This window comes from Homo sapiens, chromosome 4, assembly GCF_000001405.40.
Source record: "Homo sapiens chromosome 4, GRCh38.p14 Primary Assembly".
Taxonomy (NCBI): Eukaryota; Metazoa; Chordata; class Mammalia; order Primates; family Hominidae; genus Homo; species Homo sapiens.
The window spans coordinates 151,174,434-151,200,615 of record NC_000004.12 but is presented as its reverse complement, the minus strand read 5'-3'; the positions used below and the strand labels follow the sequence as shown (position 1 = coordinate 151,200,615).

General features: G+C 40.8%; 1 protein-coding gene across 14 annotated transcripts in view; it reads left to right on the top strand.

The window, feature by feature from the left end:
• SH3D19 (SH3 domain containing 19) overlaps positions 1–26,182 on the top strand; it is a 205,325-nt gene that overhangs the window by 124,990 nt on the left and 54,153 nt on the right. For 7 of the 14 annotated variants that reach the window (NM_001378122.1, NM_001378121.1, NM_001243349.2 and 4 more), the window contains 5 exons: positions 13,153–13,193; positions 21,219–21,261; positions 23,661–23,799; positions 23,929–24,082; positions 24,942–25,946. In NM_001378122.1, the coding sequence (NP_001365051.1) occupies positions 13,153–13,193; positions 21,219–21,261; positions 23,661–23,799; positions 23,929–24,082; positions 24,942–25,946 (1,382 nt within the window). Of the gene's footprint in view, positions 1–13,152; positions 13,194–18,886; positions 18,928–21,218; positions 21,262–23,660; positions 23,800–23,928; positions 24,092–24,920; positions 25,947–26,182 lie in introns of those variants that run through there. The other 7 variants (NM_001378123.1, NM_001378124.1, NM_001009555.4 and 4 more) reach the window with 6 other exon arrangements.

The window sequence follows — 26,182 nt, the reverse complement described above, 5'->3', positions numbered from 1 at the left end:
GTAAACCCTAATTTGCCAGTTTTGTGGGATAAATATTCCCACCATGGCCAATTTAAAGCTACCAATATGATACCACTGGTGATAGATTGGGAAGAGATGCACAGTAGCACGTCATTAGCAGTAGTAAAATTTAAGAAAATAATTAGGAAATGATGAACCTTTAATATTAGCTTTACTTTAATTGTAAGTTTGTATAACTTAATTTTTAATAATGGTTATATTTAACAACTGGCTTGCAAAATTTCTGAAAATTCAATTGTCAGCTCACATGAGCTGGCTCCAGCACATCACTGGGTAGATGCGTTCTCACTTTTTTTGTATAAATGTAATTATACAAATATGTGTGTGGGGTGTGTGTGTATGTGTATGTATGTATGTGTGTATGTATGTATGTATGTGTTAGTCCATTCAGGCTGCTATAACAAAATACTGTAGACCAGGTGGCTTATAAATGACAAACAAACAAAAAAATCCACACTTCTCGAGGCTGGGAAGTTCAAGATAAGACACCAGCAGACTCCCTGTCTAATAAGGGCTTGCAGTCTGGTTCATAGACAGTATCTTCTTGCTGTTTCCTCTTATGGCAGAAAGGCAAGGGATCTCTCTGGGGCCTCTTTTATGAGAACATTAATCCCATTCATGAGGGCTCTACCCTTATGACCTAATCACTTCCCAAAGGTCACATCTCCTGGTACCAAAACCTTGGAGATTAGGATTTCAATATATGAATTTGATGGGGATACAAACATTCAGACCATAGCAAAATAAATATATATTTTTTAAAGTAAGATTTTACAAATAACATTGGGATTATACTATTTCGTAGTTTGGGGACTTGTTTTCCTTGTAGACATGGATTCCGGTGTCATTTGGTCATGCATGCTCTTTTGCTTTGGCACGGTCTGCACTTTGGGCCCTTTCACAGTGCGTGCAGCTGGTCACAAGGGGAGGCTAGATGAGAATAGCTGAATAAAATGCTTCCAGTGTGGCAGGAAAGAAGAGGGAATGAATGGGGATGGGGCAGCCTATGCCCCCTGTGCAGCAGGCGAGTTATTTCAAAGTATGCTGCCAAATGAGTTTTATCATTTCCCAGGCAGAGTCCTTACTTTGAGACTATTTGGAACCTTGCTCTGTCCACCCACAATATTATGCCCCATCCTTTGTTCTGCTGAACTCCATACCTGCCATTTTCTACTACATTCTCTGCTGTACCTTCTTGGATCTCTCCTGTCTGCTTCTTTAAACTGAGGCTGATAAAAGGCACATTTCCTCTCTGTGAATCTTTTTAAATATCCTGAAAACAGAACTGTTTGTTTGGGGACAGTTGTACTCAGACTCAGAGTCTGTAGTCCTAATGAACAGTCAGTCATTCCCCTTAAATGATGGTATCCTCAGATACATAATATATTAATAATATCCTAAAACATACTTCTTTGTGGGCTCCCAAATCTAGAAATTTACTGTATCTTTTGGGTAATTTCATGTAACTATTGGTATTTATAATTTTAAATCACTTTAATGTCCTTCGGCTACCAAATATGTTCTTGGTATCTAATGGGAAAGTTCTCCAGTGGCTTTGCAAAAAAAAAAAAAAAAAGATGTTAGCTGGTGGGAAGGCTGCTAGCCCTGCTTGTCTCATGGAGAAATTGTTGAATATTTAGAGTAAAGGTTTCGTGCCTACCCACTGCTGAAGTTTCTGTTGCAATTTCCAGAGAAGAACAAATCTTTGATTGTTAAGAATGAATTCAGCTGTTTCCACGTTGTGTTTATATTCTTGGTTAAAGCCTTCAGCTTTATAACAGTAACTCCTTAAGAGCTGCCTATTTTTGAAAGACTCAGTTAAATGAGTGTTTAAAATGTTTTTTTAATTGGTAATTAAATAATTTATGCATTTTTATGAATTTACATTGTTTTGCCGTTATGTATATATTTGTTGCTTCATTATTTCTCAACCATTGATTGAGTGTATTTTATTTTGGCTTAGACATCACTAGATATTTGGTGAAAAGCTAGAAATGTAATGATGTAGGAGCCTCTAAAGGGTCAAAGGAAGGCTTAGCTAACCTAAAACCTTTGATCAAGTGATACAAAGCTAAGAAATGGGTGGCTAGGGCATTCACATTTGAAAGATACGTATATATTTTTATATATAAAGATAAATATATATTTTTATATATATTTTATATAATATATATTTTATATAATATATAATATATGATATATATTATATATTATATAATTTTTATATAATATAATTTTATATTTTATATAATATATATTTTTATATTATATATATATTTTTTTTTTTTTTGAGACAGAGTCTCGCTGTGTCACCCATGCTGGAGTGCAGTGGTGTGATCTCAGCTCACTGCAACCTCCACCTCTCGGGTTCAAGTGATTCTTCTGCCTCAGCCTCCTGAGTAGCTGGGACTACAGGCATGTGCCACCACGCCTGGCTTATTTTTTGTATTTTTTGTAGAGATGAGGTTTCACCATGTTAGCCAGGATTGTCTCGATCTGCTAACCTCGTTATTCGCCCGCCTCAGCCTCCCAAAGTGCTGGGATTACAGGCATGAGCCACCGCACCTGGCCTGAAAGATACATTTTTTAAAGTTATCTGATGTGGAAAAAATCTTACAGTGTCACAACAATTTAAATAATTTATGTATTTTATTAATAACATTCAAATTTTGCTTTTTAAAAAAAGTATCTGCCTCACTATTTCACATAAAGCCTTGGCTTCAAACTGACCTAATTTCTAGGTTTTTAGAAATGTCATTTAATTAATATTTTGATCATTTTCAGATGCTTAAAATATGTATTTGTTTTTACTTTTAAAATGACCACTATTATCCCTTATTAGTTTTATTTTAATCGCATAAAGAATGGAGAGAGACAAAATCATGTTTCTCACCTTTTTTCTTTCCCTTCTGCTGTCTAAACACACTGATTTTTCGTATGTTTTAGAATTAATAGTAGGGTTTTATTTTTCACAGGAGAATATTGCAGTGGTTAATTGAGATGAATATGCTCTCGTTTGAAAATATCACATGTTGAGGTTAAGGCTCTTCCCAAATAGTCACGTGCATGCACACACCCCCTTGTTTGTAACATTTGTTGCTAACCCAGTTCCAAATATTAGCTGCTTCTGGAACATTTGAATTTTTGTGCTGATTTTGATTGCCACATCATCAGTAGATATTAGACACCCATGCCGTGCAACTATCCCTTCTGACGAATTCAAAGTAAATTAGAAGGCTGGGTGTGGTGAATTGTGCTGCTATAAATATGCATGTGCAAGTATCTTTTCGGTATAATGACTTATTTTACCCTAAGGTGCCCAGCACAATGCCCGGAATAGCATAGGCATTAGATGTCTTGGTTGAAAATTAAGATTAACTCTTTTTTTTTTGAGATCGTCTTGCTCTGTCACCCAGGCTGGAGTGCAGTGTGTGATACCTAGGTAGATACCCAGGAGTGGGATTGCTGGATCAAATGGTGGTTCTACTTTTAGTTCTTTAAGGAATCTCCACACTGTTTTCCATAGTGGCTGTACTAGTTTACATTCCCACTAGCAGTGTCAAAGTGTTCCCTTTTCACTGCATCCATACCAACATCTATTAATATTTTTTGATTTTTTTATTATGGCCATTCTTGCAGGAGTAGAGGGGTATCACATTGTGGTTTTGATTTGCATTTCTCTGATAATTAATGATGTCGGGCATTTTTCATATGTTTGTTAGCCATTTATATATCTTCCTTTGAGAATTGTCTATTCATGCCCTTAGCCTAATTTTTGATGGGATTGTTTGTTTTTTACTTGCTGACTTGTTTGAGTTCCTTGTAAATTCTGGATATTAGTCCTTTGTTGGATGTATAGATTGTGAAGATTTTCTCCCACTCTGTGGGTTGTTTACTCTGCTGATTATTTGTTTTGCTGTGCAGAAGCTTTTTAGTTTAATTAAGTCCCATCAAGAAAAATAGATTATATGTTCTGATGAGAACCAGCATACTGGAGTATTCAGTATATGTTTAGTTAAAAAAAAAAAACTAATACTATAAATAGCAGATTTTTCTAGGTAGTGATAAGCTAATATCTTTTCCTCTTCCCTTTTCTCCCTGAGAATTTTTTCATCTCTGGACAGAGGGCTTTTTCTTGGTGTTTTATGTTTTGTTTGTTTGTTTTTGAGACAGGGTCTTTCTCTGTTGCCCAGGCTGGGCTGTGGTGGTGCCATCCTGGCCCACTGCAGCCTCGAATTCCCAGGCTCAAGCCATCCCCCTGCCTCAGCCTCCCAAGTAACTGGAACTACAGGCAGGCACGCACCACCACATCCAGTTAATTTTTTTTATTTTTTGTAGAGATAAGGGTCTCACTATGTTGCCCAGATTTGTTTCTTATTATATGTATAGACTCTAAATATGGACCTTGATGGGCCTGCCTTTGATGTTCCGTTTTTGATATGACCAAATGATTCCTGTTTGAATTTCCACCCAGCTTCCTCTGTCCTACTTTCTCTTGCCAGGCAGTGTCCCCTGCCAGTCTCATGTCTGTGGCAGCAGCTTATACCAGGTTTTCCCCAAACGTTCATAAGGAAGTGTCCGAAGGGATGTGTCACCCCTTTGCATATATATAGTTTTTGAAACCAGGATGACCGGTTTGAGAAAATTCTTTTTTCTTTTTTTTTTTTTTTTAAGAACTTCTCTTACATCTTTTAAAGTCATTGTTAAGTAGGGTGTAACTGGATGAGTCAGTTGTTTTTCAGAAACTTTTTCTTTACGTATGATCTAAAGTATTTTATGGCATGGAATCTGAGCATGTCAAGAGGACTTCTTAAATTGCCTTAATTTTTTAAAATTTGCTGTAATTATTTTTTTAATTTAGGATTTATGTGCAACATCATTCCAACATGTCCAACATGTATATGGCCTGAGAAGGAGATTATATTCTAATAGAGGAACTAATATGTAAAAACACCTCTCTGATAAAAGATTAAAAAAATATATAAATGTTCTAATTTTAAGAAAAGCAGAAATTCAAATCATAAGCTCTTTTCTTATCCACAGGCTTCTCACTAGACCATGAGCACCTATGAGCACCTATGGGCAGGGGCCATGTCCTAGTTAATCTTCTTTCTTTGGTGCCCAGCACAATGCCTGGAATAACATAGGCATTAGGTTTCTTGCTTGAAAATTAAGGTTAACTCTTTTTTTCTTTTTCTTTTTTTTTTTTTTTTTTTTTTTTTTGAGACAGAGTCTCACTCTGTCCACCAGGCTGGAGTGCAGTGGGGCGATCTGGGCTCACTGCACGCTCCGCCTGCTGGGTTCACACCATTCTCCTGCCTCAGCCTCCCGAGTAGCTGGGACTACAGGCACCCGCCATCATGCCCGGCTAATTTTTTTCGTATTTTTAATAGAGACGAGGTTTCACCATGTTAGCCAGGATGGTCTCGATCTCCTGACCTCGTGATCCACCCACCTCAGCCTCCCAAAGCACTGGGAATATAGGCATGAGCCACCGCGCCCAACCTTTTTTTTTTTTTTTTTAAGATGGTCTTCCTTTGTCGCCTAGGCTGGAGTGCAGTGCACGATCTTGGCTCACTGCAACCTCTGCCTCTCAGGTTCAAGTGATTCTCATGCCTCAGCCTACCGGGTAGCTGGGATTACAGGCAGGTGCCACCACACCTGGCTAATTTTTGTATTTTTTGTTTCACCACATTGGCTAGGCTGGTCTCGAACTCCTGACCTGTGGCGATCCACCTGCCTCAGCCTCCCAAAGTGCTGGGATTAAAGGTGTGAGCCTCCATGCCCAGCTGAAAATTAAGGTTAACTCTTAACAGTTAGATGCACATTAATCGTTTGACGAAAAATGAAGAAATCATCAGCTAATAGGACAAAAGTTTAGCCAGGCACGGTGGCTCATGCCTGTGATCCCAGCACTTTGGGAGGCTGAGGTAGGCAGATCACCTGAGGTCAGGAGTTCGAGACCAGCCTGGCCAACATGGTGAAACTTCATCTCCACTAAATTTACAAAAAATTAGCTGGGCGTTGTGGCGGGCACCTGTAATCCCAGCTACTCGGGAGGCTGAGGCAGGAGAATTGAAAAAGACAAAAGTTTGAAAAATCAGTCTGTAGTTGTTGTGGATGCTTGAAACTGAAACTACCATATATTTGTCTATATTTTATCGCTTATTTTTTTCCTGGCATTTAATAGACACCTCTTTAGACCTATGCTATCCTTTTTATGCCTTTTACCAACAAATAACTCCTAATCATAAAAATTAATCCTACTGGCTGGGGGCGGTGGCTCATGCCTGTAATCCCAGCACTTTGGGAGGCCGTGGTGGGTGGATCACTTGAGGTCAAGAGTGTAAGACCAGCCTGGCCAACTGGTGAGACCCCATCTCTACTAAAAATACAAAAAAACTAGCTGGGCGTGGTGGCGGGCACCTGTAATCCAAGCTACTTGGGAGGCTGAGGCAGGAGTATCGCTAAAACCCAGGAGGCAGAGGTTGCAGTAAGCCGAGATCATGCCACTGCACTCCAGCCTGGGTGACAGAGCTGAGTGACCAAAAAAAAAAAAAAAAAAAAAAAAAAAAAAATTAATCCTACTATACTGCTACACATCTAGAAAAGAGAGGATTAGATTTTAGCCCTTTTTGTCTTTTTAGGTTTTCTATATAAACTCTTTCTATAGATCACTTAGGTTGACTGTGAAGGAAAGATATAACCCCAGAAAAGTTTTATTCTGGTTATTAATTCCTTGGTTCCTTCAATAGGTGTCCATTGAACACAATTATACATCAGACCCACAGTTCTTAATCTTTCTGTGTTCACATTTGAAGGGGTTAGATTCTGAGCTCATATGTTGCAGTAAATGCTACATTTCTTAGGTGCTGGGTTGACATGCACCATACCTCTTCCCAAACCAAGTTGTATCTGTTCCATGTCATGTAACCTAACCCATTCAGACAAGTTCCATCTTAGTAAAGTCACTGTGTGTCACTGTGTGTTACTGTATATTACACATGGTTTCAAATTTAGCGGCATACCAGTGAAGACTTTGTGCTGCTTGTTGCTTAGGAACTACCAGAGTCTTAACTTACGAAGAGACAGGTTCTAAAGAAAGTGTATAATGAGAAAACCAAATATGCAGAATTACTTCCAAAATTCTGTTAATTGATACTAAAAGTACAGTATTTATTGCCAATTTCAAGTGCCATGTTGAAGTCTACCGTACCATCTCTAAATAAGGTCAACCTGGCTAGTTTTCCATTAGAAGTGAGTGCTGTTCTTTAGTGAACACCAAATGCTCATCAAGATGACTTTTTATATTTAAAAAAAAAAACAAACCTATTTTAAACATTAGACCAGACACTTTTGATAAGATGTGCATACAGTGAGATGTAACTGGCAACTGAGTCCAACTAAACAAAACCAGCAGCAAAATTATCCCTGGGGATTTGCTTATTAAGTGGATTATAGGTGGAATAACTAGTACTATTTAAATTACAATATTTCTTTCTCTCTATGAGTAGAATTGAGTTCACATTAGTCCAGTAGTGGGCACATGTTACATGACACATTCTTTCTCCTTGAGAAGCTTGCAGTCTAGTTAGAGAGTCAAGACAGGAATGTGTGATTAAAAAAAAAAAAAAGAAGAATTGGAAAGGACAAGGCAACATATTCTGATTTTTAAACTGGCTGTAGTTATAAAGAACATAATTGAAAGTCTTTTCCAAGATCTTTGAACTTTTTTGTGGGATTTGTTTTTTAATAGAGTTAAATATGAAACTAAATATACATAGCTACTTGATCAGCATGCCCATTTCTTGGGAAACATCCTGAGAAGGATGACCTAAAGGAACAGAGGTCTGTGTTTTCAATGGGGGAAATACAGCGTTCACAAAGGCTTGTAGGTTTGTTTTGTTCTCTTGGTTTTGTTATTGCTTTGGCTTCATAGGAGATTGGGTATATGAGAAGTATGTGTTGTGAAACTCAGAATGATTGTAAATGGTAAATAATAATTTCAGCAGAAATGCAAATCATTTAAATTTATAAGGTAGGGTTATAATAACTATAGGTTAACCCACTGGTGATGGCAGGATAGTCCCAAAAATTTCAGCCATATATATTGTGAACAACAGAAATGTTTATATTGGAAAATGGGTAGGAAATTTAACATATCTTGAGACTCTGATACGTGCCCAGTACTATGATATATATTTCACAGAGTTTTCTTATTCAGTCTTAGCAACAAGCCAAAAGATAGGCACTAGTATCCTCATATTACAGATAAGGAAACAATTCCAGCAAGTAAGTAAATTGGCCAGCTCACACAAATAAGAAAACACCTCTAGCTGACTACAGATTCTGTACTCTTGCCGGGCGCGGTGGCTCACGCCTGTAATCCCAGCACTTTGCGAGGCCGAGGCAGGCGGATCACGAGGTCAGGAGATCGAGACCATCCTGGCTAACATGGTGAAACCCCATCTCTACTAAAAATACAAAAAAATTAGCTGGTCGTGGCACCTGTAGTCCCAGCTGTGGGGAGGCTGAAGCAGGAGAATGGCGTGAACCCAGGAGGCGGAGCTTGCAGTGAGCCAAGATCATGCCACTGCACTCCAGCCTGGTGACAGAGCAAGACTCTGTATCAAAAAAAAAAAAAAAAAAGGGCTGGGTGTGGTGGCTCACGCCTGTAATCCCAGCACTTTGGGAGGCCGAGGTGGGAAGATCATGAGGTCAGGAGATCAAGACCATCCTGGCTAACATGATGAAACCCCATCTCTACTAAAAATACAAAAATTTAGCTGGGCATGATGGCGATCATCTGTAGTCCCAGCTACTCGGGAAGCTGAGGCAGGAGAATGGCATGAACCTGGGAGGTGAAGCTTGCAGTGAGCCGAGATTGCGCCACTGCACTCCAGCCTAGGTGACAGAGCAAGACTCCATCTCAAAAGAAAAAAAAAAGAACAGATTCTGTACTCTTCTGACAGTCATGCTGCCCCAGTGGGTATATCATGCTTTCTACTTACATGCCTTGTACAGGGGAACACCTCCTTTTAAAACCATCAGATCTTCCAGACTTATTCACTATCATGAGAACAGCACAGGAAAGACCCACCCCCATAACTCAATCACCTCCCACCAGGTTCCTCCCATGACACATGAGAATTGTGGAAGTTAAAATTCAAGATGAGATTTGGGTGGGGACACAGCCAAACCATGTCATTTCACCCCTGGCCCCTCCCAAATGTCATGTCCTCACATTTTAAAACCAATCATGCCTTCGTAAGAGTCCCCCAAAGTCTTAATTCATTTCAGTATTAACTCAAAAGTTCACAGTCCAATGTCTCATCTGAGACAAGGCATGTCCCTTCCGCCTATGAACCAGTAAAATCAAAAGCAAGTTAGTTACTTCCTAGATACAATGGGCGTACAGGCATTGGGTAAATACAGCCATTCCAAATGGGAGAAATTGGCCAAAACAAAGGGGCTACAGTCCCCATGCAAGTCTGAAATCCAGCAGGGCAGGTCAAATCTTAAAGCTCCAAAACGATCTACTTTGACGCCAGGTCCAAAACGATCCAGGTCATGCTGATGCAAGAGGTGGGTTCCCATGGTCTTGGGCAGCTCCACCCCTGTGGTTTTGCAGGGTATAGCCTCCCCACCAGCTGCTTTCACGGCTGGCGTTGAGTGTCTGCGGCTTTTCCAGGAGCACAGTGCAAGCTGTCAGTGGATCTACTGTTCTGGGGTCTGGAGGACAGTGGCCCTATTCTCCCAGCTCCACTAGGCGATGCCCCAGTAGGGACTCTGTGTTGGGGCTCCGACCCCACATTTCCCTTCTGCACTGCCCTATCAGAGGTTCTCCTTGAGAGCCCCACCCCTGCAGCAAACTTCTGCCTGGACATCCAGGTGTTTCCATAAATCCCCTGAAATCTAGGTGGAGGTTCCCAAACCTCAATTCTTGACTTCTGTGCACTTGCACGCTCAACACCACATGGAAGCTGCCAAGTCTTGGGGCTTGCACCCTCTGAAGCCACGGCCCAAGCTCTACGTTGTCCCCTTTCAGCCACAGCTGGAGTGGCTGGGAGGCAGGGCACCAAGTCCCTAGAGTGCACACAGCAGAGGGACCCTGGGCCTAACCCATGAAACCATTTTTTTCTCCTAGGTCTCAGGGCCTGTGATGGGAGGAGCCGCCAAGAAGACCTGTGACATGCCCTGGAGACATTCTCCCCATAGTGTCTTGGGGATTAACATTTGGCCCCTTGTTACTTATGCAAGTTTCTGCAGCCATTTTGAATTTCTCCTCAGCAAATGGGATTTTCTCTTTTATCACATTGTCAGGCTGCAAATTTCCCCAACTTTTATGCTCTGCTTCCCTTATAAAATTGAATGCCTTTAAAAGAACCCAAGTGACTTTTTGAATGCTTTGCTGCTTAGAAATTTCTTCTGCCAGAGGCCCTAAATCATCTCTCTCAAGTTCAGAGTTCCACAAATCTCTAGGGCAGATGCAAAATGCCACCAGTCTCTTTGCTAAAACATAACAAGAGTCACCTTTGCTCAAGTTCCCAACAAGTTCCTCATCTCCATCTGAGAACACCTCAGCCTGGTTTTCATTATCCATATCATTATCAGCATTTTGGGCAAAGCCATTCAGCAAGTCTCTAGGAAGTTCCAAACTGTCCCACATTTTCCTGTCTTCTTCTGAACCCTCCAAACTATTCCAACCCCTGCCTGTTACCCAGTTCCAAAGTCGCTTCCACATTTTGGGGTATCTACAGCAGCACCCACTCTACTAGTACCAATTTACTGTATTAGCCTGTTTTCACACTGCTGATAAAGACATACCTGAGACTGGGCAGTTTACAAAAGAAAGTTTTGTAAACTTTCTTTTTGGACTCACAGTTCCACATGGCTGGAGAGGCCTCACAATCATAGCAGAAGGTGAAAAGCACATCTCACAAGGCGGCAGACAAGAGAATAGTGTTTGTGCAAGGGAATGCCTCTTTTTAAAACCATCAGATCTCATAAGACTTATTCACTGTCGTGAGAACTACACAGGAAAAACCTGCCCCCATAATTCAATCACCTCCAACCAGGTTCATCCCACGACACGGAATTGTGGGAGTTACAATTCACGATGAAATTTGGGTGGGGACACAGCCAAACCATATCACTGAGTGACTTAAAACAACAGAAACTTGGCCGGGCATGGTGGCTCACACCTGTAATCCCAGCACTTTGGGAGGCCGAGGCGGGCAGATCACAAGGTCAGGAGATCGAGACCATCCTGGCTAGCACAGTGAAACCCTGTCTCTACTAAAAATACAAAAAATCAGCTGGGCATGGTGGTGGGTGCCTGTAGTCCCAGCTGCTTGGGAGGCTGAGGCAGGAGAATGGTGTGAACCCGGGAGGCAGAGCTGGCAGTGAGCCGAGATCACACCACTGCACTCCACCCTGGGCGACAGAGCGAGACTCTGTCTAAAAATTAAAAAAACAAAAAACAAAAACAAAAACAGAAACTTACTGTCTCACAGTCTTGGAAGCTGGAAGTCTGAAATCAAGGTGTCAGCAGGGCTATGCCCCCTCTGAAACTCATAGGTGATTTCTTCCTTGCCTATTAGCTTATGGAGGTTGACCAGCAGTCTTTGGTGTACCTTGGTTTGGCTCTTCAGATGGCCATCTTCTAAGAAACCAGTTATGTTGGATTGGGGCCCATCCAACTCCAGTGTGACCTTATCTTAACTAATTACATCTGTATGGACTCTATTTTCAAGTAAGATCACATTCTGAAGTCCTACTGGTAAGGACATCAACATTTCTTTTTGAGGGAGGATATGCTTCAACCTGTAACACCTTCCGTGTTCCACCCCAATCAATACATCTTCCTTCTCAACAAAAGAGACAAAGGATGTTTTAAATTCATAATATCATCCCTGCCAAATCAGTGGTAGTGAGCAAGGAGATTGTGATGTATTCACTAAGAGGGCTGTTACCCCTTCCATATTAAGATTGAGTATCCCTAATCCGAAATCCAGAATGCTTCAAAATTTGAAATTTTTTGAGCAGTAGTAACATAATGTTCAAAGGAAATGCTCATTATATCATTTCAGATTTCAGATTTTTGGATTAGGGATACTTAACTGGTAAGTATATAATGCAAATATTCCAAAATAAAAAGAAATCCTAAATAATTCTGGTCCCAGGCATTTTGGATGAGGGACATTCCGCCTCTACCTTATATTAATTCTTTTTTCATGTAGCTGTTTTACAGAAAGCCTTTAAGCACTCTTTAAAAAATCAGTATTACTGTAAACAGTTGTATCTTTATATTACAGTCCTCGCTTTAAGGTATCAGAGACCTCCTAGAGCTTAATCTTTCCCTCTGTATAACACAATAGTATTGTCTTAGTCAATTTTTTGCTCCTATAATACCACAAAATGGGTAATTTATAATGAACAGAAATTTATTGGCTCATGGGTATGGAGGCTGGGAAATCCAAGATTGAGAGGCTGGTATCTGGAGAGGGTCTTCTTGTTGCCGTGTCATCCCATGGTGAAAGGCAGAAGAGCAAGAGAGGAAGCAGGGTGTTGGGTAGGAGGGGAGAAAGGGAGAGAAAGAAGGGGGAGAGAGAGACAGGGAGTCTGGGAGGGAGAGGGGAAAGTCTCACAAGATTATTTTATTTTTAGGTGGTGATGTTTTAAATTCTAATCTTAAGAAGAAATGCTGTTGTTCCTTAGGTCAAATTGACTATATAGATTATGTACTTTGATGTGATATATGAAGATAGGAATTTCAGTGTCAAACACAAAAGAGCCATAAGGAATAAAGTTCTTTTGAGCGCCATGTAATGCTGTCTAATTACGAGTGGTATCCAGATTTTCACTGGAAGATACAGTATGTAAGTAGCTATGAAAGCAATTTTAAGGCAAAATTTTACTTACACTGCAAATATATTTCCCATAAAACAAATTAAAGTCAAGTTTTAAAAATTTCTTTAATTTTTGATTTTTAAAGAGGATAGGCCAGTAAATAATGTATCAAACTTGTGGCTTAGCACCATATTGAATCCCAGAAATGACTTGGCCTTATGAATGGCTCTTTTCAAAAAGGATTAATGAATGTATAATAAGTTTTCTTTCTTTTTCTAGCCAAGGACCCTTGTCATCCATTAGAGCGGTAATCAAGAGATGTAAGTTTGTTTTTTCCTTCTCTGTATTTTCCTCTGTAATAATTTTAAGTGATGATTTAGATTTCCAGCAGGTGATTGTATTTGACGAATCTACAAAGAACCCAAGAGTAGCTTCTCCTAAGAGGTATTAAAGCATTTCAGACAAACAGCTACTTTTCAGCCTATATTTATTGATAAGCCGGTTTCTCAGAACTGTGTTTTTCTCTTGCAGAACAAAGCTGGGGTTTTTTTTCCTTAATCCCAAATGTGATACTATAAAGCTGTTTGTTTTTTTTTTTTAATTTGCCTCTCTAGTTAGTTTCTGTGATCTAATATAAATTTTATGTAGCGGCCGGGTGCAGTGGCTCATGCCTGTAATCCCAGCACTTTGGGAGGCCAAGGCAGGCGGATCACGAGGTCAGGAGATCAAGACCATCCTGGCTAACACAGTGAAACCCTGACTCTACTAAAAATACCAAAAATTAGCCGGGCGTAGTGGCAGGCACCTGTAGTCCCAGCTACTTGGGAGGCTGAGGCAGGAGAATGGCGTGAACCCGGGAGGCAGAGGTTGCAGTGAGCCGAGATCGCGCCACTGCACTCCAGCCTGGGCGACAGAGCGAGACTCCATCTCAAAAAAAAAAAAAAAAAATTATGTAACCATTTTCTAGAGTTAGAGATATCTAACAGGTTTAAGAAATATTAAGTCCTGGCAGGCACGGTGGCTCATGCCTGTAATCCCAGCACTTTTTTGGGGGCTGAGGCAGGTGGATCACCTGAGGTCAGGAGTTCCAAGACCAGCCCAACCAACATGGTGAAACCTCGTCTCTACTAAAAATACAAAAATTAGCTGGGCGTGGTGGCAGGCACCTGTAATCCCAGCTACTTGGGAGGCTGAGGCAGGAGAATGGCTTGAACCCAGGAGGTGGAGGTTGCAGTGAGCCAAGATTGTGCCACTGCACTCCAGCCTGGGCAACAAGAGCAAAACTCTGTCTCAAAGAAAAGAAAAAAGAAGTATTAAATCCTGTTCCTTTTGGTTCATTTGTTTCTACAGGTACTTTTCACAATATATTTTTTAACTGTATAAGTGCCTATAAAGACGGGCTTATACTACCATATCAAGATAGAAGTGCTAAGAGTAGAATTCCCATCAGAAAGGAACATTTCTATTTTCTGTCCTTATCTCTTGGTCAAAACTTCAAAACTTGCTATTAGTGTGGTATTTTAACACTTTTTTAAATAAAAGGCTCTGGAAAGATCTCTTTAAAAATAGAACATGGATTGCCTGTGTTAGAAAAGGATAAAGATAGGATTTTAGATGTTCTTTGCATTATCTGAGCTGAGGTTACCACCCCGAGGAGAATGTGCCCTATTTTTAGAAACATAACTTGGTTGTTTTTCCCCCCCGATACATGGTCTCTCACTGTCGCCCAGGCTGGACTGCAGTGGCGCGATCTTGTCTCGTTGCTACCTCCACCTCCTAGGCTCAAGCAATTCTCCTGCCTCAGCCTCTTGAGTAGCTGGGATTACAGGCACCCACCACCATGCCCGGCTAATTTTTGTATTTTTAGTAGAGATGGGATTTCACCACATTGGTCAGGCTGGTCTCCTGACCTCAAGTGATTTGCCCGCCTTGGTCTCCCAAAGTGCTAGGATTACAGGTGTGAGCCACCATGCCCATTATGAATTTAGGATATTCACAGGTCATGAAGAATATGCATTTGAACAATTCCAGTGAAAATTTTACAAGCTGACAATACAGAAAAATATGCCATGTTTCCCCACTCCATTTTTTTTCTTTATTGGTGAACTATAAATATGTGGGAATGCTATGGTATGAGATGAAGAGAATTCAGATATAAAAATGAAAACTTCTTGATAGCCTTTCATGCCTTATAACCCTTGGGTTGTGGGTGGCAGGCGATGACGGGCAGAGAGATAATTTAAATACAAAATTAGGATCTAGAACTTAGGCAAGAATTTATTGGCTGGAGATATAACTTAGAGTAATCACTGTTATAAGCAAAATCCTGGAAGTAGCCAAACATGTAGGGAGAAAGTACACAGGATAGGAAAGATGAGAAGGGATAGAATCTTGGAGACGCTGACGTCTGAGGACAAGCTATGCCTTCAAGAGGCATAAGGCAAAAATGCATGACCCAATGAACCCAGCCCTGCTGTGAAAGGCCTCCTTTCACTGAGTCATATCTGTGGGCTCCTGCACTTTGTTCCCTGGCTTCTTGCCTTAATTCCCTTGGATTTCAGGACTTTTTTGTTAGGGAATCACAATCTGTGCCTGACTTCCCATGGATCCCCCAAGATAGATCTTGCTCAGCGAAGACATGGGCAATAAAAGCTTAAAAGGAATGGTCAGAGTTAAAAAAAAAAAAAAAAAAAAAAAAAAAACAGGACACAGCTGTGTTTTAGAGGTCAAAGGAGAAGATTTTAAAAGGAACAGGTGAATCACCAATAGCTCTTAATACTAAACCAGGCCAAGCAAAAGGTGCTGAGAACAGGTTATTGTGTCTGGCACTTAGGAGGTCAATTGAGACCCACGAGAGAGCAGTTTCAGTAAATATTGAAGTTGGAAGCCACACTTCAATTTCAACAATGAATAGAATATGTGGAAGTTGGGGCGGCTAGGGTAGCCTACTCTTCTATGAAATTTGGTGGTGAACAGGAGAGATATGGACTGTAATTTGAGAAGGAGGCAGAGTTAAGGAAAGAGGAGATCTGACTATGCTTAGGATGAGGAAGCATGAAGACATTTGTAGGCAGCAGGGAAGCAATCAGTGGAGGGATCAGACTGGAGCCATGAAAGAAGAGAAAACGGTGAAACAGGGCCCTAGCAGAGAGAGGAAGGAGGATATGAAACAAAGGGAAAAACCTTGCTTTGAGGTAGCTGGTGTTTTTTTGGTTTTTAACTCAGTTGTCTTTTAATTCTTCTGTCAGTCGCTTTGTAAACACTAAAGAAATACTTGTATTCCTGATGTTTAGGCAAGAAGGCCAAACAGATCCTTTCATGATAACATATAAATACAGAATGAGTAACAATTGTGCCATTCCCTTTTGTTTTCTTCTTTTTGCCTATTCTATAAGAAAAAGCTGTAAATAATTTTTATCTTAGCCAGCCCATTAAAATGTGTGTGTTACTATCCCATACTCAGTCATCTAACCCTGGCAAGCGGAAAGACTTTATCCCATTGTTAAAGTGATATTCTTTAACTGGTTGTAGTTCAACTTATTTCATAATGATTCCGGTTCCAGTCAAGCCTTGGGGTCCTTTTCTTTGCATGTATTCTTGTGAATCCTGAGTATTTTTGGTAAAGTGTTTTGATGTATCCTAATTGGATACATCTAGAATTTTATGTTCTTCCTTTCATTAACTTTTTAAGAGAAAATTATTTTCTGAAATTCAGACTTAGTTAATATTGTTTACCTACCATGAGTCAGGAACTGTTTCCATACATTATAAAATAACACTGTGCGTGGTAGGTGTTGACCCATTTTACATGTGGTAGTGAAACTGAGTCCCAGAAAGGTTAAGTGGCTTCACAAGGTAGAGCCAAGATATGAACCTTGTTTCCTGACTTCAAGGCCATTGAGCTTTCCACTCCACAGACGTTCTTGTTATCATGTCAAATGCATCTAACTCTTATACCCTGTCCCAAACAAATGTAGTCAGTAAGTTTCTTATATTATTGTGATTTTCATTGATCTTTCATTCTTAGTTCATTGATCATTCATTCATAGTTCTATAGCAAGGGTATTTATAATTAATAATCCTTCTATGTGTTTATTTCTTCTGACATCATTTTATTGATAATTTTGAATTATTTAGATCAAGACTAGCTAGCATCCCACTCTCCTGGCTCCACACAGAGTTAAACTGCTTCAAGAAACAAACTGCTCCTAGCCTTGCTCCTAAAGGGCTGTTGGACCTGGGGTAATTCATTTAACCCCTCTGTATCTCAGTCTTCTCCTCTGTGAAGTTTGAGTAGGACGATCGCTGAGGGTCTTTCCAGGCTTGTGATCCTGCTGGAATTCGAGAAGATTCTTTATTGGTGGTAATACTGCACATCTACATCTCAACTTTAACATGAATATGTTTTGTATTTAGAATTTAACCACTTGAACTCGAAAAGTTTGAAAATAGGCCAGGCACTGTGGCTCACACCTATAATCCCAGCACTTTGGGAGGCTGAGGCGGGCGGATCACCTGAGGTCAGGAATTCGACACCAGCCTGACCAACATGGTGAAACCCCATCTCTACTAAAAATACAAAAATTAACCCGGCGCAGTGGTGGGCACCTGTAATCCCAGCTACTAGGAAGGATGAGGCAGGAGAATCGCTTGAACCTGGAAGGCAGAGGTTCCAGTGAGCCAAGGTCGTGCCACTGCACTCCAGCCTGGGCGACAGAGAGAGACCCCAGCTCAAAAAGAAAAAAAAAAAGAAAAAGTTTGAAAATAATTCTGTAAAATGATAGGATAACTCTAACTGAAAATACTGCCTTTATTCTGTGGCATTAACCCAAAACGTACCAGACTAGCAGCTTGTGGCAGAGAGGTAAAATGGGACATGCTTGTCTATATGGCAATCTGGCAAATTCGATTTTCCTGGCAACTACAGCAAATTTGTTTAATCTGGGAAAGTGAGAATGAAATGTATAAGCAGATAGTTGAGAAATTAGCACAAAGAGCATGAGACAACACATGAAAATCTGCAGTGAAAACCAAAAGTGTTTGTAGCTATTAATCTTGTTCAGCACTGACAGAAGGTGTCAGTTTTTCCAGAAGGATCAAGAGAGAAAAGAAAGATTTCATAGATAAGTGAATGTGAAAAAAGCCAGACAAGGAGAGGGGAAAGCAGTGATTCTTGAAGGTTGTGCAGAAGGACATCTGTACGTACGACTGCAAGACCCCTCCATGTTCTTCAGCGGCAGTGCCACTCTGCTGCCTGGGGGCCTGCTGTGAATGACCTCTGGTGTGAACGGGCAGAATCAAGTTAAAATTGCTGATTTTAAACAATGTAGATCGACTACTGAATTACCTTTTAAGTACTATTCATACTTTAAAATCAATGCTTATTGAAGTAGCAAATTGATTTTGCAAAATAGTTTTTAGATTTTTTAAAACCGTTGTTAAAAACTGCAGACAGGCCAGGCATAGTGGCTCATGCCTGTAATCCTAGCACTTTAGGAGGCCAAGGTGGGCGGATCACTTGAGGTCAGGAAGTCGAGACCAGTCTGGGCAGCATAGCAAAACCCCGTTTCTACAAAAGATACGAAAAGGAGCCAGGTGTGGTCGTGCATGCCTGTAGTCCCAGCTACTCAGGGGGCTGAGGCAGGAAGATCGCTTGAGCCAGGGAAGTCGAGGCTGCAGTGAGCCAATATTGTGCCACCGCACTCCAGCCTGGGTGACAGAGCAAGACCTTGTCTCAAAAAAATAAAAAAAAAAAAACCCTACAAGCGGGTTTTTCAACTGGTTATGTGTGTGGATATCCTGGTCTGCACAGACAAATCTTTGCGGCAGTATTTCTTTACTCTCTGAATCTGTGGATCATCAACTTTGCTTTTCCATTTAAGTGTGCATAGCAGGGAAAAACAGTGGTATGGCAAGACAGTCATGCTCCTGAATTCCTTTTAAAGCTTAGGCAACTAGGTTCACTCTTTTCTCTTCCTTTCCTCTTCTATAACCCCTTCTTTTTTTCCCTTAGCACTCATGAATAGTACACAGCAAAAATGCCCCGTGGAAGAGGTATGTTTGTGATGATAACATGAAGTCTTTTAAAAGTGTTATCCCTGCTGATTTCAGCATTAGTGATGGTGGTGATGTGATTGTAGCAAACTTGAATGGGCCTCTGACTTAATGAAACCATTCTTACAAATCAGACACACCATGCAGAGCTCTAGCCTCCCTGTCAGCTTGGTTTAGCTCTTGATAAAAATGTTAATAGTCAGTCAAACCAGTTGATGATATGAATATGAGGACATCCTCCAAGTAGAAACCCAGGGGTTTGGTTTCAGATCTTAGAGGTTTGCTTTGCCAACCCAGCAGAGGTTCACCTGTTACGGCTCCAATCCAGCCTAAACTTCATTCCCACCTTCCACTTCCACCCCTGCCTCCCCTAGTTTTGACAGCCTCCTTGTTCAGAGAGAAGCAGAAGTTAATAGGGGGGAAAGATCTATGCTTCCAATCTTTTCAAATAGGAAGAATTGAACAAGTTGAGTATTACTGAGATATGAAAGCAACTGGTTAAAATAGTTTATATCTGAAACAAATTTCCTTTGTGCACAGATCTTTACACTATAGTATTAGAAGATTTTTTTCCCCAAAGAGATCTTTAGAATATGTTCCATGAAAAATAGAGGTAGGCCGGGCGTGGTGGCTCATGCCTGTAATCCCAGCACTTTGGGAGGCCGAGGTGGGAGGATCACGAGGTCAGGAGATCAAGACCATCCTGGCTAACACGGTGAAACCCCATCTCTACTAAAAATACAAAAAAAAAAAAAAAAATAGCCGGGCATGGTGGCAGGCACCTGTACTCCCAGCTACTCGGGAGGCTGAGGCAGGAGAATGGCATGAACCCGGGAGGCGGAGCTTGCAGTGAGCCGAGATGGCGCCACTGCACTCCAGCCTGGGCGACAGAGCGAGACCCCATCTCAGAAAAAAAAAAGAAATAAAGAAAAATAGAGGTAATAGTCTCTATTACATAAAAATTGAAAAATTGACCCCATATGTGTCGGGCGCAGTGGCTCACACCTGTAAAGCCAGCACTTTGGGAGGCCAAGGCGGGTGGATCACAAGGTCGGGAGATCGAGACCATCCTGGCTAACACGGTGAAACCCCGTATCTACTAAAAATATAAAAAATTAGCCAGGCATGGTCGCGGGCGCCTGTAGTCCCAGCTACTCTGGAAGATGAGGCAAGAGAATGGTGTGAACCCAGGAGGCAGAGCTTGCAGTGAGCCAAGATCGCGCCACTGCACTCCAGCCTGGGCGACAGAGCGAGACTGTCTCAAAAAAAAAAAAAAAGAAAAAAAAATGACCCCATATGTGATATGTTCTAGATTATCCGATTAAAACTTAGTTTACTTTATAAAATAAAATTTGGGAAAAAATTTAAACTATCAAGCTTAAGGACTTGAGTTTGAGACTTAAGGAAAAAGTCAGTGCTGCATATACAATAATATGTGCTATAAACAAGTTTATAAAAGTGATTTGAACACCTTTTACATTAATTATTATATCTTAGTTTAAGTAATAAAAGGCTGGGCATAGTGGCTCATGCCTGTAATCCCAGCACTTTGGGAAGCCCAGGCAGGAGGATCGCTTGAACCCAGGAGCTTGAGACCAGCAACATGGCGAAACCTCATCTCTGCGAAACATACAAAAAATTACCAAGGCATGGTGTCATGTGCCTGTAGTCCCAGCTACTTGGGAGGCTGAGGCAGGAGGATCACTTGAGCCTGGGAACTTGAGGCTGCATTGAGCCCTGAACATCATGTCACTGCTCTCCAGCCTGAGCAACAGGGTGAGACCCTGTCTCAAAATAAATAATAAAACAACTTAAAGGTTATAAAATGTCAGATAAGTTAGACAAAAGATGAAAATTTGACCAGTTTCATTCTACAATAGATTTATAAACAAACATCACAAAAGCATAGTCATATAGATTGGAATCGATATTTAAAATTTTTTCTGCCCATTGTTACTTCATGTCATCATCTTAATACTCCAGCCATGCAATTTATATTTAATAGCTGTCTTCTTTTCTCTGTTCATTCTTCAAACTATTTTCACAACTACAGAATGTTCTTTGGGGAGTTTTTGAAATCTATGTATTATGCAATCTCTAATATATAACCATAATTAACTTTATGCTAATAAAATGATTGTTTTGATTTACTTTTTTTTAAGGATATTAAAATTCATACATTCTATATGATGTCAAGTATAAGCTTTTTCCAATTGTGTACTTTGTAAAAATTTAAACCCTTACCAAACATACTAATTTTGTACTATACCAGTTTATTCCTTCTTCAACAGCTTCTCGGACTTCTATTCAGAGTGAACTTCATCGAGATAGAAGGTATGGTTATATTTATAATGGAGGACATATATTAGACTAATAATTGAGTAAAAGTGTGTTATCAGGTAGCAAATTAAATGTTTCACTTTCATAAGCAATGTATTCTTGTATTCTGCTTCATCAATATATCTCCTGAATTAACTTATAAGTTTGAAAGATGATTTTGCTTGAGAGAAGGAGTGATACAGGCTTGAAAATGTTCTTTTGAGTATAGTTATTTATTGAAGTTGATTTTTTAAATGTTTATTAAACAGCTGTTACATGTAAAGCATTGTAACTGCTTCAGAGAAATGCTTTGTACCTCATGCTACTTAGTACATGTTGCCTAACCAAATGGATGGATGACAGGATAGAAAATTGAATGGAAGGATAAAGAAAGGAAAAGAGGAGGTAGGCACAATGAATAAAGCCTGGATGGCTTTTTGGAAAAAGGAAGGGAAAAGAGAAGGGAGGAAAGATAATATTTGGGTAGATAGAAGGAAGGACCAGTGGACAGATGGACAATAGAATGGACAGAAGGATGGATGGACAAATGGCTAAATGGATGGATAGATTTTTTTTTTACATTACATCATGACATTCAATCAGATAGAGAGGTTTTCATAAGTCATGGTCCCTGCTGTCAAATTGCTTACAGTATAGTATAGAATAATGAAGGACTTCAGAGTCAGAACCAAATTCAAATCCTGACCGCCACTTTCCTACCATGTGACCTTGGATGACAAGCTGCTTAATCTCTCTAGCTTCTTTATCCCAGCTTTAAAATGGTGCTAATCATACCTACATCACAAGGTTGTCATAAGAATTAATATACATATGATGCTTAACGTTTATTAACTAATAACTCTTACTATTTAGTTAGACAAAAGCTATAAGCAAAGGTTCTTAGGAAGTACAGTTCAAATTTTATCAATGATCAGGTTCTACTGTTTCACAATGTAGCATGAGTATGTGTGTAATGCATAATTTTGAGAATGACAGTGCTTTTTTGTTTTTATTTTCCATAGAGTGCTAGAGAAAGGCAGAGCAGGTATTATCATCCATGTATGTTCCATGAGAAAACTGAGTTTTCCAATCAAAACTTGATTGATTTGTTCAGGGTCACACAGTTGCTGTTTGTTAGGAAATCAGGTTTAAGAGAAAATTTAAACATGCTCCAGGCACAGTGCCTTACACCTTTAATCCCAACACTTTGGAAGGATTGCTTGAGGCTGGGAGTTCGAAACCTGCCTGAGCAAGATAGTGAGCCCTTGTCTCTACAAAAAATTTTAAAAATCAGCCAGGCATGGTGGCATGTGCCTGTAGTCCCAGCTACTCAGGAAGCTGAGGGGCGGGGAGCTCGAGGCTGCAGTGAGCTATGATTGTGCCACTGCACTCCAGCCTGGGCAACAGAGTGAGGCCCTGTCTCTACAAAATCAATTAATTACTTTAAACATGAGAATGTAGAATCAGATTAAGAAAAAGATAAAAGGAGTCATGCCTAAATCACTATAGCTCTCCAGTATTAAAGATTAATCATCAAATCATATACAAACCTGATCACGAACCCAGAGACACATATCAAAGTCTAGAAGTGAACATATAAACCCAAAACACTTAAACATAACTGTGAATTGAAACAGAGATGAAGTAAGGCAGAAGAGGATATTCTTTTTAAATGGTAATTTTGCATTTCAGAGTATGCACTTTATAATAACAGAAAACCAAGCTGGGTGCAGTGGCTCACGCCTCTAATCCCAGCACTTTGGGAGGCTGAGGTGGGCAGATTGCTTGTGGTCAGGAGTTCGAGATCAGCCTGACCAATATGGTGAAACCCCATCTCTACTAAAAATACAAAAATTAGCTGGGTATGGTGGCACATGCCTGTAATCCCAGCTGCTCGGGAGGCTGAGGTGTCAGAATTGCTTGAACCTGAGAGGCGGAGGTTGCAGGGAGCCAAGATTGAGATCGCGTCACCACTGCACTCCAGCCTGGGCAACAGAGTGAGACTCTGTCTCAGATAATAATAATAATAACAGAAAAACAATTCCATTTGACTAATGGGCTTTTATACCTTACACTGTATGTTTGCCCTAAGGCTAGATAGCCCTGGAATGAAGAGATTGTATAGGCCTTACTTAGTTCTTATCCTTATCAACCAAGGCAGAGCCAAGTGTGCCCAGGGTCCAACTCTAACTTTTTGAGGCCAAAGTCATAGAGGATGATTGTCATTTGCTCTCTTGAAGCCTGTCTGGGTGTACTGTCAGAGACAGCCCAGGCCTGACAGGTCATTTCTGTGACTGTGTTAGTTCTTACAACTTTTTTGGTTGATGGTGGTTTTCATGAATCTTTGAACATTTATAGATAGACAATAGCTTGTTACCATTCTGCAAAACCTCACTGAGGCTTCTGTCCACTAGGCGCCCAGAGATCACCATTGTGGCAGCTGAGCCACTGAGGCCAGCCTCGTGGTTTCCAGGAACCCCACCCCCAGGACTGGGATTTCCTACATCATCTGCAGCAGGCTCTTGGAGGCCTAATGAGCTGGTTCCTGCTGAGGTGAATAAACATTACATTATCTCTTTGCATTTTATTTTTTAAATGAAATTGGAAGATAAGAACAGTGAGACTGTCAACACCTTAGCTATTGCCCTTAGATGTCTAAAATCTTCATTCTTTACTTTTCAGCTCCCACCATCTTATGAACAAGTTATAAAAGAAATCAACCAAGTTCAAGTTAATACTACAAATAATAATAATGCTGCTGCTACTCCAAGGCACACTATTACTTCTGCAACTCAGACTGACTTTTCAGAAGAAATAGACAACGATCTGCCTCAAAGTAATGCAAGTAATTTGTCTTCCCTAATTCTGACCTAGTTCTAGGGAAGTAATCCGTAGGCTTCCAGCCTTTAAAATAATTTGCAATTTGTGCATAATTCATTGAGCTCTGCTGCCCAGTCAGTGTGATCACTGTGTGCTTGCTTTATTTGGGTGTGCAGTGATGATTATAATAGATCATTCTTACAAACTGCAGCCCCAATCTCTTGAGCTTACCCTAGTTTATATCACAAAAACATTATCCGTATAATTCATGGTGGGTATTACCATTGATTCCCTTTATTCCCTCTGAGAAGGATCTTATATTTAGCAACTTATACTTGATAGGATGCTAAGGGTGGTTGTCCTGTTAGGCTTTTTTAAAGTGTTGCACTGTGGCTTATGCCTTTAATCCCAACGCTTTAGGAGACTAAGGCGGGTGGATTGCTTGAGCACAGGAGTTTGAGACCAGCCTGGGCAACATGGTGAAATCCCATCTCTGCAAAAAAATGGAAAAATTCGCTGAGTGTGGTGGTATGTGTCTGTAGTCCCAGCTACTCAGGAAGCTGAAGTGAGAGGATCGCTTGAGCACTGGAGGGTGAGGCTGCAGTGAGCCGTGTTAGAGCCACTGTACACCAGCCAGGGCAACAGAGCAAGACCCTGTCTCAAAAAAAAAAAAGTGTTATATGAAGAGCACTCCTACAGGAAACAGAATAAACATTTCCATTTTTGAATCACTTTTTACTAATTAAAAGAAACCAAAATCTCTTGATATTCCATGTATGTAGTTTTAAATCTGTGTATCTTCTATTTTTTTCCTTATACATTGTTAACGTTATGGCTTGTTTTTATTTGTTTTGGTTTTGTTTTGGTCTCGTCAGCACTACAGGCACCTCTCAAGCCTCTTCAGCCTTTCTCAGCAGTCTCGTCTGGCAATCTTCCAACAAATGTGGCACCTTTAATCGTCTTTGATATTTCTGAAGAACCGAATTGTCCAGAAAACCCCAGTGCTACAAGATGTCCAGTGCCAAAACCAAGATCAAAAAGCAACCTCAGACCAATACCCAGAGATTCTCACATTAAAGAGCAAAGTCAACAGAAAATCAGCCCAGCAGCCGTAGGAGAGGAGTCATCCCCAGGCCGGCCCCAGTCTCTGCTGGACAACGCTAGCACCTCAGACAGTCAGGCAGTGATGAACATTATGAACACAGAACAAAGCCAAAATAGTATTGTTTCCAGAATTAAAGTGTTTGAGGGTCAGACAAACATAGAAACCTCAGGACTGCCCAAGAAACCAGAAATTACTCCACGTTCACTTCCTCCAAAGCCTACTGTTTCCTCAGGGAAACCTTCTGTAGCTCCCAAACCAGCTGCTAACAGAGCTTCTGGAGAGTGGGACTCTGGGACTGAGAACAGACTCAAGGTGACCTCCAAGGAAGGACTCACCCCATACCCTCCCCTGCAAGAAGCGGGAAGCATCCCAGTAACCAAACCTGAATTGCCAAAGAAACCAAACCCTGGCCTTATACGAAGTGTTAATCCTGAGATTCCGGGAAGAGGGCCCCTGGCTGAGAGCTCTGATAGTGGGAAGAAAGTGCCAACTCCTGCCCCGCGGCCTTTGCTGCTGAAGAAATCTGTTTCCTCAGAAAACCCCACCTACCCTTCAGCTCCACTGAAACCTGTCACTGTTCCTCCCCGACTCGCAGGGGCATCACAAGCCAAAGCATACAAGTCACTGGGAGAAGGGCCCCCAGCCAACCCCCCAGTTCCAGTTCTGCAGAGCAAGCCCTTGGTGGACATCGATCTCATCAGCTTTGATGATGATGTTTTGCCCACCCCATCGGGGAACCTGGCTGAAGAATCTGTTGGTTCAGAGATGGTTCTAGGTGAGTGAAAAATCAGCAGTGGAGGGGAATCTAAACTCATGATAGGGTATTTTAAATGGCACTTGCTGTTTTAGTTTCTGGTACATAAGTTATTGAGGTGTGTGTATACAAGTATGTGCACATGCATGTGTGTGTATAGAAACAGAGGAATGAACAGACAGATCAAGAAACATGGGAGCTATGTGGGGAATGGAGACAGGGAGGGAAGGGAAAATATGGGATGGGGGTAATGGAGT